The following is an 18932-nucleotide window of genomic DNA, read 5'->3' as shown; positions in this document are numbered from 1 at the left end:
GGCAGATCAAAGCATCTCAAGAGCATTGCAGGCTGTGGAGTTAAACCGTTTGCACTTTTCCTGCATTTAGTGTGTGTATTTTGTGAGCATACTAATAATTTGTCCTTACACAGGACCTTTCATCTAGGGAGGAGCTGAAAGCCCTTTGAAGATGTTAATAAGAAAGAGACCTGCTAATTAAGATTGCTTAAAAATAAAAACTCATCTTCCAGTATGTTTACATGATTGCTGGGAAGGTTCTGACTCAAAGAGATTTGCTATCACAGGTGAGTTGTTTCATATGTTTTCTTTCAAAATCATACTGTTAGATTCCATGTACTGATAAAATGGCTTTCTCTAGACAGTCACACCAGATATAACAATACTAATTCAACAATTTATGGCATACTTGATTTGGAGATCAGACATTTACCCAGAACATTTTGGGACAGAGCAAGGAGCGGTGCCATGTTGAATATTTGTAATGAGTTTTAAGATTATCAGACAAAGCTGTAGACTAAACTCAGTGAAACAAGTTTAGAAGAAGACAAAGCAAGAGCCGAGCACAGTGGCATGTGCCTGTCATCTCACAGGAGGCTGAGGCAGGGATCGCTTGAGCCCAGGAGTTTGAGACTAGCCTGGGCAACATAGTGAGACCTCCATCTCAAAAAAAAGAAAAAAGAAGGACAAATCATTCCCAGATCTTTATGAAATTATTTTTAGAGGAAATTCAAATAGCAAAAACTGTAGAGCTCCTTGCCTCAGTGCATGGTGAACAGGATGACTTTGTTAAGAGTACAAGCTTCCACCTCAACTGCCCCACATCAAACAGACTAAAGCAAATCCCTACAGAGATGAAGTCAATTCAGTGAAATCTTCCCTAATTCCAACTGTCAGAATTGGTAGCACCTAACTTTCTACTCCCTGGGCAGATATGTTATAATTAATCCAACTATTTAGTATGTAAATCATTTTTCTTACATTTTATATATATATATATATATATATATATATATATATATATATTTTTTTTTTTTTTTTTTTTTTTTTTTTTTTTTTTTTTTTTTTTTTGAGACTGGTCTTGCTCTGTCGCCTAGGCTGGAGTGCAGTGGCTCAATCTCGGCTCACTGCAACCTCTGTCTCCTGGGTTCAAGTGATTCTCCTGCCTCAGCCTCCCAAGTAGCTGGGATTACAGGCATGTGTCACAACGCCCAGCTAATTTTTGTATTTTTAGTAGAGACAGGGTTTTGCCATGTTGGCCAGGCTGGTGTCAAACTCCTGATCAAGTGATCTGCCTGCCTTGGCCTCCCAAAGTGCTGGGATTACAGGCGTTAGCCACTGCACCTTGCAATGTCAATTTTTTTTAATAGTTCTCCCATACAAAAGAGTAAACTCCAAGATGGCAGGAAACATATTTTATTCATCCTAATATCCCGTAGAGGGCTTAGCACAATGTCTGATCCTTAACACAACACATCCATTAATAACCACATCTTTTAATTAAGAATTTTATTATAGCATTCTTGTAATAGAAAAAGAAACTGGGACTAGCACAAATGTTCGTCAGTAGGGCACTGGCTTAGTAAAGTTATGGACCATCCATACAATGGAATATTGTGTCACTATAAGAAAGAATGGATCTGATTTGGAAAAGTCGGCTTCATTAAATTGAAATGAAGTTTCATTTCAATTAAATAAAAAACTTACACAAAAGAATATATATCATATATAATATATTATATGATATATATTATATATAATATGATATATATTTTTTATATATATATCTTTTTGGCAAAAACCAAACCAAACCAAATGGGTGATTAATAGATGCATAGAATGAATAGATGGAGAGCCAGACAGATAGACTGATCCATTTTGCAGAAATAATGCATGGGAAAAAGGAAACCCCGAAAAATATAAGCAAATTCTCAACTGTGAGTATTTCTGGTAAGTGGGGCTGAGGAGAGTGGGCTGGTCATGAGAGGACAGTCCTTTGATTTTTACTTTAGCCTCTGTATTGTTGGTTTTAGCAATGAGCAAGTATTACTTTTGGGCATTAAAAGGGGAAATAATGTATTGACTCAAAGTTTGAATTTGTTGAACTTGCTTCAGTTGAGCAGGTGACCTAATATCCCATATTTCTTAGCTTCACAGCCTTTCTCCCTGACAGAGCTTCTGGCACTAAGCTGACAGAGGGGACAAAGTCTTCCTTTTTCAAGAGTAAGCATTTGGCTGGGTTCAGACGGACTCCCTTGGGCATCTCCCTGGGGCACCTCTCCAAGGCCTTGCTTTCTAAACTTGGTTATACTAATGGGCTGGGACAGATTCCCTGGCTGACTCTGGAAGCTGTCAAAATCTCTCTGGTAATTTTCCTAGGCTTTTCTGGTCTTTAATGAGGCATCAACCTTTTTCAGTTGTAAATCAGCTTAGATCAAAATTCAAGCAGGAGACTTTTCTACCCCTCAGACCCTTTCGATGTTTGCTTTCTAACTGCTGAGTTCTTGCTTACTTGAAACTCCTGCTCCCCGGGGATAATCAGAAATAGCTACCTGCACTAACTTCTTAAGTCATCATTCTCCTGTTTTGATCAGCAGGAGGGGTGTAATCTGTTTTCGACAGTTCATGTAGATTGGCTTGCTGCCAGCATGATTCTCTCAACTGAAGGAAAACTCAACAGTCTCTAAAATGGAAGGGCAAGAGGGAATTTGTGTGAATGATGTAAGTTAATCCCATTTCCTGGGATCTGGCCTGGCCCATTTTTAGTGGGGCTGGTTTAGGGTTAGTTTGTGATTACATAAACTCATCAACATTCCGGAAGAGGAAAGAACACCCCCTGGTGGTAAAATTATATCTCTGCACCACATCCCCTAAATTTCAACTCCCAGCCAAGTTACCTACTTACACTTGTACCAGGGTACACAGGAGCATTCTTGGTCACAGAAGTCTGTATAAACTAACTCAGTTTTATTCCTGCATTACATACAGAGAAACAAGCATTAGAATTTCCAATATTCCTATTATGCTTTTTTGTTCAGAATTACTGTGTTATACATTACACATATTAAAATCCTTAGCTTTATCATTTTATTATGGAAAAAAAATCCCCATTACTACACAAACTCTATAGCCCTAATTAGTTTTGTGCATGACATTATTAATGATGTTGTTATTGTTATGCTTATTTCAGGCCCATTTCATTTTTTCAAATGTGTCTGTTCTGTGAAATGCACACAATATAAAATATGTGGCTGGGTGCGGTGGCTCACGCCTGTAATCCCAGCACATTGGGAGGTCGAGGCGGGTGGATCATGAGGTCAGGAGTTCGAGACCAGCCTGGCCAACATGGCGAAGCCCCGTCTCTACTAAAAATATAAAAATTAGCCGGGCATGGTGGAGGGAGCCTGTAATCCCAGCTGCTTGGGAGGCTGAGGCAGGAGAACAGCTTGAACCCAGGAGACGGAGGTTGCAGTGAGCCGACATCGTGCCATTGCACTCCAGCCTGGGTGACAAGAGCAAGACTCAGTCTCAAAAAAAAAAAAAAAAAAGTGATGTATATTTTTGATGCTCCTAATGTACTACTTCGTTCTTCTACATGCTACAATATCCAAAATGTATTCATAGTCATACAGTCCAGTCTTCTTTTTCGTCTATTTGCACACATTCTCAGGGTTGAGTTGATTTCAAAGAACATTATCAAAACAGATGCTCCAGCGCTGTAATTAGCAGGCCTCGTGTGGAATGTTCCGCATAAGTCAGAGTTCCTGTGGATCCTGGACATTTGCCTTCCTGAGGCTCTGCCTTTGACTTTCCTTTTGGAATAATGCCATAAAGGTCACTGTTTCCAGTTCAGAATATTCCCTTTCGTTTCTGTTTGTGAGAACTATGTTTAAGCTTTTTCCCTTCACCAGTTGTCCTAATGGGCCTGGCATTGCTTCTGAAGTGGAGAGAGTTTAATAAACCCAGGACTCCTGCTTAGTCCCTGGGCATTTTTGCCTGCTCCTCGGCTTGTTATAGGAGAGTGGAATGTCCTTGGAGAGGCCGAGGCACTGGAATTTGAAGTGAAAGAAAGTAAAGAGGGCTCTGTTCATGACTTAAAACGTTATTTCCTTCTTGTCAAGATGCTTACTGGCCACCTGGTAGGGTGACCCACCTTTCTGGTTTGCCTGAGGGGTTGCCTAGGACTTTCAGTGTTAAACCCAAGATAGAAGGCCTTGGGAGGATTGCTCAAGGCTAGGTGTTCAAGACCAGCCTGGGCAAAACTTAGCAACACCTTGTCTCTACAAAAAAAAAAAACAAAAAAAAAACAACAACAAAAAAAAAACAAACAAACACAAGAAAATCCCAAGTGAAGCAGACCACGTAAAGCACACCAATGGGGCTCGCACTGTGTGAACCAGTTCCTTGCTCTTCTCATTCTCTTCAGTTAGTTCTTCATCTCTCTACCCATATCTGCCAGGTGCTCTTTCTTTTCTTTTCTTTTCTTTTTTTTTTTTTGAGATGGAGTCTCACTCTGTCACCCAGGCTGGAGTGCAGTGGCATGGTCTCAGCTCACTGCAACATCTGCCTCCCGGGTTCAAGCAATTCTCCTGCCTCAGCCTCCTGAGTAGCTGGGATTACAGGCGCCTGGTACCACGCCCGACTAATTTTTTGTATTTTTAGTAGACATGGGGTTTCACTGTGTTGGCCAGGCTGGTCTTGAACTCCTGACTTCGTGATCCACCTGCCTCGGCCTCCCAAATCGCTGGGATTACAGGCATGAGCCACGGTGCCTAGCCCACGTGCTGTTTCTTATGCCTCCTAACAAAATCCATGATGTTTGAAAATGATTACACATTAGGGATTTACTACATTTCAAAAGTAACAAAGGAAAACTTTTTTTTTTTTAATGGGTGTGTGTGTGTGTGTTTGTGAGTGATGGAATCTCGCTCTGTCACCCAGGCTGGAGTAAAGTGGTGTGATCTTGGCTCACTGCAACCTCTGCCTCTCAGGTTCAAGTGATTCTCGTGTCTCAGCCTCCCGAGTAGCTGGGATTACAGGTGCCCACCACTATGCCTGGCTAATTTTTTGTACTTTTGGTAGAGATGGGGTTTCATCATGTTGGCCAGGCTGGCCTTGAACTCCTGACCTCTTGTGATCCACCCACCTCGGCCTCCCAAAATGCTGGGATTACAGGCCTGAGCATTCGCGCCTGGCCCAACTTCTTCATTTGAGTTTACAAATCACACAAACATGAACTTGACAATGGTGCACCTAAACCACTATACTATAATAACTTGTCATTGTTTGTAGGCGTATGTAGTGAAGGTTGACTATTCCGTGTAAGGTCCAGTGGTAAGGAGAGGAGCTGAGTGGACAAGCAGATAAATGCCACCACACTTGCCAAGTGAGTGCTGTAGGAGGCCCAAGAACAGAGAGATTACTGTGGGCTGGGACAACTGGGAGAGGCTTAATACAGGCAGTGGGATGTGGAGAAGACTGCAGAGGAATCAGAAGAAAGGTGGGCTTCAGTGAGAAGAGACACTATTCCAAGCAGAGGAAACAGCTGCCTGCAGGACCAGGAATGCCTGAATAGAAGCTGCAGTGGCTGGTTTCCCTGAAGCTAAATTTTCAAATGCGTGATCAGTTTGAAGAGGGTGTGTGTAGGACAATTTCTGTATTTCTGTATTGTTGTTTCTGCATTTATTACAGGCAAAAATAAACACAACCTTACCAAACGGGAGCATTTTTTTCTCCTCCTGGCTCTTTGCCACCTTTTGTAGTGTTAGGCCTGGTCTCCCTAAAGAATTATCCGACTGTTTCAGTAAATATTTGGGGTGCAAAGAACTGGAGTATTGTCAAAACTTTTTGTGCCAACCCCGCCCTTCCTTCCATTGAGTCCAGTGCAGGGTGGGGCAGCCCTTGTAGTTCGAGTGAGGAAGCCATCCTTCAGCCCCATGTAAACAAGCGCTGGCATGCTCAGAGCACCAGCCCTGGTACTCATGTCCTCAGCAAATGCGATGCACGTTTCTACGTGAAATGCAATTTTCAATGACTACTGGCTTCCTTACACTTCACATCTCAATAATAGGCCTTCAAAGACCTTATCATAGATTGGACATAGCAAAATATCATAGCACGATTTCACCTAAATAGCCTTTTCCTTACATGAATTCTGCTGTTTCTTAGAGAAAGGAACCTCTTTCAATCCAGTCAAAGACAGGGTGAAGATGTGCCTTGTAAACTAGATACCCACTGTTACAAATGGCACCAAGGAAGAGAGAGTAAAAATAGAAAGTGCCTCTAGGGAGGTTTGAGAGAAGGGACACCAGGAAGGTTCGTATAATTCCACACCAGCTTTTTACCTGAAAATTCCTTCCACATAAAGATGAAGCTTTCAGATACTCTTGGAAGATTATGTCTTGCCTTACACACCAAGAGTCTACATCAATATTTTCTCCTTGGTGAGGAATAGAGGGGCCTCTGGTGCTTAAAGAGAAGAGACCGCAGATATGAGAAAACACTGCCAAAAAAGGAGACTCAGGATCTGAAAACCAAATCTCTTATATCCAAATTTTGCTAAAACTCACCATAGCTTTTATTTGAAATTGTGTGCATCATGGCAGCACTCTGAAAATCTGTCTTTTGTTTTCCTTGTTTTGTATTCGTGGTTCCTTCATACTGTATGGTGTTGACCACCTACTGCTTTCGGTTAGTTATTCAGTTTCCCTCCCCCTCTCTCAAACTCTTTTTTTATAAACTATTTTCATCTACCCTATTTCTGATCCTGAACATCCACCTTGGTTCCTACTGGCCGTGTTTATTTATTAGCTCACAAAGCTTGCTTCCTTTCTCAGGTCTGAGGAAGCCTGACGATAGGATAGGATAGGATAGGATAGGATTCTGTGATGGAGAAGACATGAATTCAAGGATAAATTATTGAGTTGAATAACTGCATCTGTTCAAAATAGTGTGATCACCCTTCTGCTTTTAGTGTGTTTGTTTTGTTTGAAGTCATAGGTGGCGTATTCTTATGCTTAAACACATGGGAGGGAAAATCCATTAGATAATGAGAGTGTGGACTAATTAGACACATTTTTCCTTTTTAAAAAACTGGCTTTATCCTTATGTGTCCACTGGTCCTTAATCATAGCTACAGCTGAGACTGCTTCTCTCCCTCTTCCCTTTGTCTCAGGCATCCTTTCTTCCACATCTCTTTGTAAATCATTACTTTTTTTTTTTTCCCAGGCTGGAGTTCAGTGGCACAATTTTGGCTCACTGCAACCTCTGCCTCCCGAGTTCAAGTGATTCTCCTGCCTCAGTCTCCTGAATAGCTGGGATTACAGGCACATGCCACCATGCCCCGCTAATTTTTGTATTTTTAGTAGAGATGGGGTTTCACCATGTTGGTCAAGCTGGTCTCGAACTCCTGACCTTGTGATCCACCCGCCTCGACCTCCCAAAGTGCTGGGTGGGTGCTGAGCCACCGGGCCTGGCCAAATCATTACTTTTTAAAGAAACTTTGCAATTGGTTCTGCCCTTGATGGTGTCAATTAGGACACTATCATTTGAATTAAATGCTAAGGTATATTTGCTATTAGGTTAAAAGTTTCCTTGGAGTGGGACCAGTTCTTTTCATCTTTTTTTGATAAGCAGTTGCTTTCAAAGTCCTGGCTTGAAGATCCTTATTTTGAATTAGGAATTCTTATCTCTGGATAATTTGAACAGTCCCAGACAATATGGGCATCTCCCAAGTCTACCAGACAGTCGTCCTCTGTTGGAGCAACACAGTGTAAGTCTAGCAAGGAATTCAGCCGCAGTGGACCGACTGCTGTTGTCCTAAAGGGCGATTAGGCAGCTGAACCAAGACATGTAAAGAAGCTGCTAGGAGAATATTCTACCACTTCTGTCAATTTAAGTAGCACTGCCAAGTCATAGTGTTCTCTGAAAGTTCAGTTAGTCCTGGTTTATGGCCCAGAGCACTTAGCATAGATCAGCCCATTAGCCCTCCCTGCATTCCTCTGAGTCAGGGAGCTGACAAGTGGAAATAACCCAGTTTCCAAATGTGGACTCAGAGGTGCAGAGGGTTTAAACAACTGCCACAGGATCACTAATTCAGGCAGTTGAGCGGTGCACATGTAAGACCAAGAATGTATCAAAAGGGTCCATAAGACTGAGCATAGTAACCATTCCAGCACCAATGTTCCTTTAAGTAGCAGATACTCAATGCTGTGCACCATAAAACACCTCTTCTCCTTATCCCTAATACTCAGAAGTGAACAGGCTGACTTTTGGCGACATTGTCTATGTAGGGAAGTTTGTCTCCTGGGTCATTTTTTCTCTGAGACAATTTTCTTTCACTCTGTGGCCAAAAGTGTGGACTCTTGGGCTAGAAATGCCAGAAATCAACTCTTGGCCATTCTGCTATGTCCTTGGGCAAGTTACCAAACCTCTCCATGACTTTGTTTCCTTATCTGTAAAATGAGATTAGTAATAGTACCTACCTCAGGCAGGGTGCTGCGAAATTGAAAGAGTTAATTCACGTAAAGCACTTGGAACAGAGCCTGGCACATAAATACTCAATAACCGTGAGCTGTTTCTTTTCTTATCATTTAATATGCTTCCTTTCCTTCTCTGGAAAACCACCTCATCCCAGGGCCTCCCATTCTCTTACTTCCTCTTCCTATCAAAATAGCCAATGATCCACTATCAGCCATTAACATTTAGTGAGCAAAGTTTCATGTCACCTCTGCCAGCTGATTTGCTTGTGGTCAATCTTTGTTTCTAATTGCGTAATGAAAAACTTTATTCCCTGTTTAAGGAATTTCAGGTACCACAAATGTTTTGAGGGGATGAGGGAAAGTGGGAGACGAAAGCAACAAAAAATTCAGTTACCCTTGAAGGTATTCGAAAGAAACCTGCTTAAGGTTCCTCTTCTGCAAAAGCACAGGTCTACCCACCTGACAAGAACTGCCCATCCCCTGCCTTTTTAAAATTGCCCTTCTCGATTCCTATCCTGTTCCTTCCTGGCTCAACAGGAACAATGTTCCTTTTACTCACTCTTAGCATCTGGTCTTTTTTCCTCTCACTCTCAACCAAGACCTCCCTCCAATCAACAGAAGCATGGGGTCTATTTTCATGAATCCTCTGCCCTCCTGGCAACTTTTGACCTAGGTTGTCCTCACTGCAACCTTGCTTTTTTATGATACTGTCGTGTGGACCAAAAGTGAGAAGATCGGAGCAGTAAAAGTATAATTTTCATGTATGAAAGTAACACCAGCTACATATGTAATTGCTTACCAATTATGTCTCTTTGCCTATCAGTGTCATAATAGCGTGTGATTAAATATATAAAATATTCACTTTATTAGTCTTTACTTGGAAAAAGCTAAACTCACATATGCTTAGCCTTTTTAATGAGTGACTCTTGTAGCATTACCATTTGATCATAGCGTGGGTCATTGTGTCCTGCCTCCAGGTGCATGTAATTAAATACATGAAACTCAACTCTCAACCCTAAGTGAGCTATGTGGGAGGGTAGATAGGATAGAAAGAATTCAAAGGCCTGAGATTACTTTCTCCCAGGGCCTGTTCCTAAACTGTACCACCCAGAGGTAATATTTTTAAACTATAAGGCTTAAAAGGCAGCGATTCTCAGATGTAACTTCCAGTCATCCATGAATGACAATCTACCTTTTAAAGACTTTTTATTTCTTTATTTTTTTAACAGAAATAGAGATCATAGCTCATATCACCGTTTTAAATGTCATAAATAACTTGGTTCATCAGAAACACCAGGCAGTTTTTCTTATAGCTTGGGGAAAGCTTGAGGTGGTTGTTGACCTCTTAGTCTTTGTTTTCTGACTAGCTCATTACTCTTTTTAAATGTTCTTTATTAAAGCCCCATTATTTACATTTTTATATGAAGAAATGTTATATTTTAATAAATAAATTTTTATTCATTACCTCACCAAGATTATATTATATGTTTTAACGCTCCTTTGTTTACTCATAGTACCCTCCAAAATAACAGGTTTTATTTCTTCTAAGTTAGTGTCTCCTGTTAACTGTTTTCCTTGGCAGTGTCAATCATATACCCTTCAAAAAAGACCAGGATCATGTCTGTTTGCCTAGTCACCAAGATGTTAGAAGGAATTCTCTCAGTGGAGCCAGCTTTATAAGTTGCCAGTGGTTATTTTAGCATGAGTGGGCCAGATGTAAAGGACTCAACCTCACTATAATCACCATAGGATATATAGCTTTGTTTTTTGGCCCAGTAATGGAGTGGTTTCCAAACTGTGTTCCATAAAAACTTCAGGGGTTTGACAAGAAATCTTTGAATATCTGGCCGGGCACGGTGGCTCACACCTGTAATCCCAGCACTTTGGGAGGCCGAGGCGGGCAGATCACTTGAGGTCAGGAGTTCGAGACCAGCCTGGCCAACATGGCAAACCCCTGTCTCTATTAAAAATACAAAACTTAGCTGGACATGGTGGCACGCACCTGTAATCCCAGCTACTTGGGAGGCTGAGGCAGGAGAATTGCTTGAACCTCGGAGGCAGAGGTTGCAGTAAGCTGAGATCATACCACTGCTCTCCAGTCTGGGTGACAGTGAGACTCTGTCTCAAAACAAAAACCAAAAACAGACTGGGTGTGGTGGCTCACATCTGTAATCTCAGCACTTTGGGAGGCTGAGACGGGCAGATCACGAGGTCAGCAGTTCAAGACCAGCCTGGAAAACATGGCGAAACCCCATCTTTAGTAAAAACACAAAAATTAGCCAGGCGTGGTGGCGGGCTCCTGTAGTCCCAGCTACTCAGGAGGCTGAGGCAGTAGAATTGCTTGAACCCAGCAGGTGGAGGTGGCAGTGAGCTGAGATCGTGCCATTGCACTCCAGCCTGGGTGACAAGAACAAGACCCTGTCTCAAAAACAAAAAACAAAAAACAAAAAACAAAAACAAGAAATCCTTGAGTATCTTAGGGGAAAAAAATGTATCACAATGTATATTTTTGGTTGGTGTCCCAGTTCCTCTGCACCAATCACCACCTCGTGACAAACTACTACTCCACTCGCAATTACATAGGAAATTTGTGAATGCTTGGCCACATGTATGATTCAAATTTAATAACTCAAATCTTATTTTGTATGTATGCTGTATTTATTGAGTTCTTATATATCAGCACTTAATTGGATTGATTGAATTAGTCCTCTTAACAATTCTATGAGGTGGGTGCTCTAATTATCTTCTTTCACAGATGAGGAAGCAGAGACTTAGAGAGGTGAGGAAACTTGCTCAAGGTCTCAGAACAGAAGGAATTTAGTCATGATTGTAACCCTGGCATTTGGCTCCAAAACCCATGCTTTTAAACACCACGCTCTGCTACCTGTGAGAGGCAACTGCAGGGGAATAACATTCTACGAAATGAAGCATTCCTTTTATACAGTAAGCTTGGCCCGCCTTCTCCAACATACCCCACCTTGACAAATGTATAAATTATAAGCTTGGATTTTTAGGTGTCCACGTTAATCATGTACTGGGGAGGGGGGCACCCTGCAGATGAACCCTGGGGCTGTTTTCCATGCAGCTAGTTGAAAGCCTGCCTATATTCCCAAGCTTCACTTGCTAGTAGAATGGCAATGACTTCCTTCTCTGATGACCGGTCCTGTGGCACAACCTCCTCCCAAAGGCCCTTGGGTCAGCATTGCTCAGGGAGGGGAAGTGCGGTCCCTCAACTCTCCCCTGGCACCACCCACCCCTCGCCAGTTTTTCAGCTCCTGGCTGCTTGGGAGACCAATGAGCTATCCCTGGAGGTTGCCCTCACCTCATTGCCTACAGGTTTGCAGAAACCTTCACTAGGGGCAGTTTCTGTGTGTCTCGGAGAGGTTGATGGATTGCTGTTCTCTTATTATTCAATCATATCAGTCTCTAGCTTGAGATTTCCTGGGAGCAAAAGAGTTTATATTGCTGGTGCCTTATTGCTGCTGACCCTACCAAATCTCTAGCTACCAAATGCAGTCCCCTGGAGCTCACTGAGGTCTGCAAACAAGCTCTTGCTGACTGCACTCCCAAAGGTCCTTCATTCCTCACTCCCCCATAGTCCATCCCTTATGGGAAGTAGTTATTCTGGGACTATAGTCATGACGACTGTTCAGTGGCCCAAGAAACCCATAACTCTGTCTCCCTCAGGCACATGGAGCCCTTGCCTCTCAGGGTTTCTACTCCATGGACAGGAATAAGGTAGACAGGCCTTCTGTCCTTCTCAGTAAGTCTTGGAGCTCTTACTTGTTCTTCAGTCCCACAAAGATAACCTTGTTTACCCAGTAGCAGTTTTCTCTACTGGAGGTACAGACCAGACTCTTGGGAGGATGGATTAGAAGAAGCAGTGGCAAAAATTGATCCAAGTTTCCTTCTTCCCAATGATTCTAGGATTATATGCCCTTTTAGTGACTCTTCTGGGCCCAAGTCAATCTCATCTATCTTGTCCACCCTTCACTTGAGCACCATTTTCTTTATTGTTGTGATGGTTTTTCTTTAATGGCAGGAATCCAGGAGTCATCCATCTATCCATCCATCCAACCAACCAACCATTTATCCATTCATCCATTCATTCAACCATCCATCCATCCAACCATCCATCCATTCATCCATCAATCCCTCTGTACATTGATCCACTCACTTTGTATAAAGCATTTACTGAGCCCTTCCTGTTAGTGGCTTTTTAAGCATTTGGACTTACAGTGATTAATAATACACAGTCTCTGCACTTGAAGAGCTTATAGTCTATTGGAAAAGACTGAAAAATAAGTAGGTAATTACAGTATCACATATTGTTATAAGAAATGTATACCATTTCCGAGCACTGAGGGAGGCACCTGCAAATGACCTTGACCTTCCACGTCTCTCTTTGAGGGTAAGGCATATCCTATTCCATTGTGATTACTGACCAACCTCCATAGACTCTTCAGGGTCTGCGCTAAAGTTCAGTTTGTAAAAGGGAAGTGGAAAATGCTGCACCCTTTGCTAATGAACCAACCCACTTCAGAAGCAAAGGTAATATATCAGTGATACTGGGAGAAAACATGTTTTGTAGCTTAAGTCAGCTTTTCTTCCTTTCCTTTTTAAAATGAACTACTTAGAGCACTGGCAAATGTTAATATCCGAAGTATCAGGGTCCTTATCTGGTCAATTCTTCAAACTACAAATTAACTTTCCAGTGTTCAGTGGGTATGTTGTAATGTTCACAGTTAAAAGTGCTTCAGAAAAACAATTATTTTGTCACGCACCTCAACTCTGAACATGTTGATGAAGCAAACTATCTTGGAGTTCTTTCTTGATATTCTAGACCCAGTGGGACATTCATGTTTCTGATGAGTCTTAACTTGGATCACCCCTGCTGCTTCATGGCAACCTCTGCAGACTTCCCAGAATAATTTTGACTGACACTTGCTCTATTTTCCCCAGGTCAACATTTTGCCCTTCATCCTACTATTTCAAAAACAGGTCATTGGGCCAGGCGCAGTGGCTTATGCCTGTAATCCCAGCACTTTGGGAGGCCAAGGCAGGCAGATCACCTGAGGTCAAAAGTTTGAGACCAGCCTGGCCAACGTGGTGAAACCCCGTCTCTACTAAAAATACAAAAAATTAGCCGGGCATGGTGGCAGGTGCCTGTGATCCTGGCTACGCGGGAGGCTGAGGCAGGAGAATCGCTTGAACCCAGGAGGCGGAGGTTGCAGTGAGCAGAGATTGTGCCATTGCACTCCAGCCTGGGCGACAAGAGTGAAACTCTGTCTCAAAAAAAAAAAAAAAGAAAATCATTAAATTAAAAGTCTTTTCATTCTTGGATCCCCAATTTAGTCAATTCTTCCCCTGTGCAAGACACCCTGATATTTACAACAAACACTCTTGAGTGTCTTCGCCATTGTTGGCCTGACCCAGTAATGGCTCCAACATTCAACATCCATCTTTTTCAAGCTGAAAAAGCTTCTTGGATAGAAAACTAATACAATCAGCATCTGATAGAGTGTAGAAACTATGCTAAGCATTTTTCACTTACGCTATTTCATGTAATTCTCAAAATAACTTTATGAACTGGGTAGAACAGTACCTGTCACATAGGAGATGTGCCAGGAGATGCTCATAAAATATTTGTTGAATCAATGAAAAAATTACAATCCCCATTTTACAGACTAGAAAACTGCAGGTGAAAGAGGTCATGCCATTTACTTGAGACTCCTCAGTGGCCAAAGCAGGTCTGTTTCTTTGTTCATGTCCTCTATATTACCTGCCTTTAGAGCAGTAACAGTTAAGTTCACTCTTCAAGAAAGCTTACGTTGCATCATCATTTGACACTGAAAGGATTTTCTAAGTCATTGCAATCAACACTTACTAAGCCCCCTTAAATAATCGAAGTCCTTTAATCCTCAAACGTGAAAGCAAAAGGCAAGGCTGTTTTTGTCTATATTGGATAAAAGTCTCTCCTGAATCTCATCTGCCTTGGATATCAATTATCCAAAGAAGTATAGAGACACTCTTGGGAAAATTTGCCAGGTATCATCTTTTTCACTAGGAGTGTAAAAAAAATCACATAGTAAAATTAATTTTAATGACTTTAATTTATGTAAGAGCTCAGGAAGCAACTATCTTACTGACATAATCTTTGCCACATCACCCTTTGTCTGCCTTGCTGAGTTTGAACTCCTTTCCAGGTTGCAGCCCCACCCTGTGTCCCACTCCCAACCCTCCACCCACCCAGTGTGCCCCTGGGTCCTGATTCACACCCCCTGCCCCCAACACATGAAGCTTATTCTTGGCTATAAGCCATTCTTTGGAAACTCTCCGAGTACCTGAAAGATGGCTATGCCTCCCAACGATTTGACCTTTTAAATCAAAGCTCCTCTTCTTGTGCCACCCACAGTCCTATCTCCTTGTCTAGAATTAAGTATTGCATTAGTGGACATTTGTTATATAGACCTTAGCTTTATCTTCCTACCTTGATTGGACATTTGTTGCCCTCATCATAAGCATACACCTAAACATGTGTATATGTTAAGAAACATGTTTCTTAATTATTCCCAGGCAAATCCTGGGTGTAAGAGATGGGTAGTGTAAAGTCCTATTAAGTACTCTTTCGTTGAACCCAGGAGGCGGAGGTTGCAGTGAGCCGAGATCGTGCCTCTGTACTCCAGCCTGGGCAACAAGAGCGAGACTCCATCTCAAAAAAAAAAAAAAAAAAAAAAGAGACAGAGTCTCACTGTCACCAAGGCTAAAGTGCAGTGGTGCAATCATAGCTCATGGCAGCTTCGAACTCCTGGGCTCGAGCAATTCTCCTGCTTCAGCCTCCCGAGTAGCTAGGACTACAGGCATGTTCCACCACCCTTTGCTAATTAAAACAAAAATTTTTTTTTTCCCAGATACTGGATTTTGCTATGTTGCCTAGGCTGGCCTTGAACTCCTGGCCTCAATAGATTCCCTATTAAGTACTTTTGATTGGCTGCTCCCACCAGGAGCACCTGGTCTCTATCAGGCACCAAATAAAAGGAACCCTGACACTCTCACCTTTCATGGCCTTAGCTATGAATTTCTTCTGCAAAAAAAGGAGAGTCATAATGGTAATAGCAATTTGCAGTTTTCTTTCTCTCTATAAACTGGACTACAGGCTATGTTCTTCAAGTGCCATGAGCCCAAAGCTGAATTCTCCATTTCCCTCAAAACCTATTCCTTCTTTTATATTATTCACCTAAACTAGTGACACTGCCTCCAGTCTCCATCATCTAATCTAACCATTTAACTCCTCCCCCACCGCCTCAGACACACTCCCTGTCCTCCCAAGTCAATCAGCCAATTCTTATTTTATCTACTAAATATTTCTCAAATTTTCTATTCCTTTTTATTCCCCACTGTTTAAGTCAGACCCACATTATTACTTTCTTGGATTGTTGTAACATATCCACTGATTTCCTTCCTCTTGTCTTTCCTCATTCCCCTTTAACCTAGTCACCATGTGGTTCTGTCACTCCCTTGCTTAAAAATCTTTCAGTGACTTATAAAACCAAGTCTAAGATTTTGATCTTGGAGATAAAAAATGCCATTCATGACATGGCTTCTCTTTATTTATTTATTTATTTATTTATTTATTTTTAGTTTCTTGTAGAGATGAGGTCTTGCTATGTTGCCCAGGCTGGTCTCAAATCCCTGGCCTCAAGCAATCCTCCTGCTTCAGCTTCCCAAAGTGCTGGAACTATAGGCATGAGCCACCACGCCCAGCCTCATGGCTTATTTTTAACATTCCAGGCTTTTATTCTGCTATTTCCTACCTCTCACTTTTTCTGGTATTCCAACTCCTCCCAAATACAGTAGTCCCCTTTTAGACAGTTTCACTTTCCACAGTTTCAGTTACTAGCAGTCAGTTGAGGTCTGAACACATTAAACAGAAAATTCCAGAAAAAAAAATATGTAAACTTGAATTGCATGTCATTCTGAGTATCATAATGAAATCTTGCACCTTCCCACTCCATCCTGCCTGGGATGTGAATCTTCCGTTTGTCCTGGGGATCCATGCTGTATACACTATCCACCCGTGAGTCACTTGGTAGACATCTCTGTTATCAGATCAAAAAAACATAGTCTATAGAGGGTTTGGTACTATCAGACATCTACTAGGGGTCTTGGAACATATCCCTCATGGATAAAGGGGGCCTACTGTACACCTAAAATTTTGCACTTACTGAAATCCCCTGCATAACTATGACTCATCCTTTATATCTGAGCTTAGATGTCATATTTTGAACCTCCAGGTTGATCTAAATGCTCTTTGTAAACCCATAGAACCTGTGCTCACCTGTCTTCTCACTTACCACAGTATATTAATAAGTAAGTATGAGGACACTAGACTAAGGTGGTTTTAAAGGCTTGTGTTCCTGCATTAGCAGACAGAAACCTAATTCAGACTCATTTCCTCAAACACCTCCCCCCAGCCTCCCTGCTTCGGGGCCTTTGTACTTGCTGTTCGCTCTACCTGGACCTCTTCCCTCAGTGGTCACACAGTTATGTTCTCCTTTTCATCTCTTAGCTCTTTTTTTTTTTTTTCTTTTGAGACAGAGTCTCACTCTCTTGCACGGGCTGGAGTGCAGTGGTGCTATCTCGGGTCACTGCAACCTCTGTCTCCTGGGTTCAAGCGATTCTCCTACCTCAGCCTCCCGAGTAGCTGGGACTACGGGGGCACGCCACCATGCCCAGCTAATTTTTTTGTATTTTTAGTAGAGATGGGGTTTCACCATGTTGGCCAGGCTGGTCTTGAACTCCTGATCTCAGGTGATCCACCCATCTCTGCCTCCCAAAGTGCTGGGATTATAGGCGTGAGCCATTGCGCCCAGCCCCATTTCTTGGTTCTTAGCCATAGCATCACCCTCCTCAAAGAGGCCTTCTCTGGCCCTGCTGTGTAATGTGGTTCCCACCTCTTCGCAACACTTATCATAAACTAAAATTATCTGGTAAATTTACTTGTTAACACTCTGCCCCACCTCCAGTAGAAAGTAAGCTTTAGGAGGGCTGGGAATTGTTTGACTGGTCCTCCTGTATCACCAGAATTTAAAACAATTCTTAGAAACATAGTTGCTCAATAAATATACAGAATGAATGAATGAATAAATGAACAGAAAGTCTTGTGCTCAGAGTTGAACACAAGATTTCTATCTGAACTCTCTTCAGTTTTCTGCCATTATAGTTTCCTAAGAAAAATGCAAAAAGGAGACAGTTCAGCCAAGTGTACACCAACTGTCCTGATAGAGGCTGCTGCATAGTCTGTTCTCCCCTGCAGACTCCTCCAGGATCCCTGATTCTCCCTCCCCCTTACTTCAACCTCTGACATTGACATTGACTGACAGCCAGTCCCTGCAGTCTTCCTTTCTCCCTGTTTCCTGGGGCCACCCTGAACTTATCCAGGTTTCTGCAGGGGTGTAAACCAAATAGAAACTGTGAGTATACTAAGTATTATGTGGAATAAGAAACAGGATTTATTAGAGTTTTGTAATCCCTGGACATCTCCCTACCTTGTTTTCCTTGGTAATAGACGTGGGCCAGGCTCTTCAATTGTGTTGGGGATGTAAAGTCTATTAACCAACACCTTAGGATGCCAACAAGTCAACAGGGTACATTTTTGCAAACAGATTTAAATATGCATCTGTCAGATGGTCACTTGCCACATGATGTTTGTGTTCTATAATTCCACCACTTCACATCTAAATCTGGTATTAAGGGCTCTGTGGGTTTGATGTCTAAGGACTTAAAGAAGAACCACTGACACTTCTAAAATCAAATTAGCTAAACTGCCTTTGAAATTGTAAGGCCTTTGTTGAGGAATGTCAACAAAGTGGTCCTGCCAGAATCTGAGAAATACCTTTGAGGCACTTTGCACAGCATACTGGCCAGGCAGGAGCATTGTATACAGCAGATCTTGGAAATGGATTGCCTGGTTATACTGAAAATGAAGCATTATGCATTTTTCTAGTTGAGAAGAGATAAAAGCCTGTATCAGATGGAGTGAAATGTTCCCAATGTTTGGCAAGGGCTTTCCAATGAAAATAAAAGGTCGAAACAAAGAGCAGAGCATGCAGTTTCAGATCTCCTAGGAGAAAGAATTTGGTGTTTGTAATTAGAAATTTTATATCAGGTGTTAGATTCACAAAGTGGGCAGGCAACTTTCTGGAAAGCTAACTGCTGAGACAGGGAGTCACTGTGTTCACCACTGGACTGGGGCTGGCTGAAAGGGATAACTTATGGGGAGGATTGAGGAGCAGACCTGGCTGAAGCCCAGCATGTCAAAGAGCAACGTTTTATCCAAGAAGAGGCAAAGGCCAAGCCACAGAGAATCTGAAAGGACAAAGAAGCCACTGTTCTGCCCTGACAAGTGCCAAGAAACCTCCTTTAACCTCTTTGCTTTTACTCAAAGATTTAACGGTAAACTCATCCTTATGG

General features: G+C 42.1%; 1 long non-coding RNA gene across 5 annotated transcripts in view; it reads left to right on the top strand.

Annotated features, from left to right (window-relative positions):
- LOC105370198 (uncharacterized) overlaps positions 1 to 18932 on the top strand; it is a 114265-nt gene that overhangs the window by 92422 nt on the left and 2911 nt on the right. For all 5 annotated transcript variants that reach the window (XR_007063792.1, XR_007063791.1, XR_007063789.1 and 2 more), the window contains one exon: positions 114 to 266. This is a non-coding gene — a long non-coding RNA (uncharacterized LOC105370198). The remainder of the gene's footprint in view (positions 1 to 113; positions 267 to 18932) is intronic.

The sequence above is a fragment of the Homo sapiens genome, chromosome 13 (genome assembly GCF_000001405.40).
Source record: "Homo sapiens chromosome 13, GRCh38.p14 Primary Assembly".
Lineage (NCBI taxonomy): Eukaryota > Metazoa > Chordata > Mammalia > Primates > Hominidae > Homo > Homo sapiens.
Note: the sequence above shows the minus strand (reverse complement) of the source record. Positions and strands in the feature narration are given on the sequence as shown.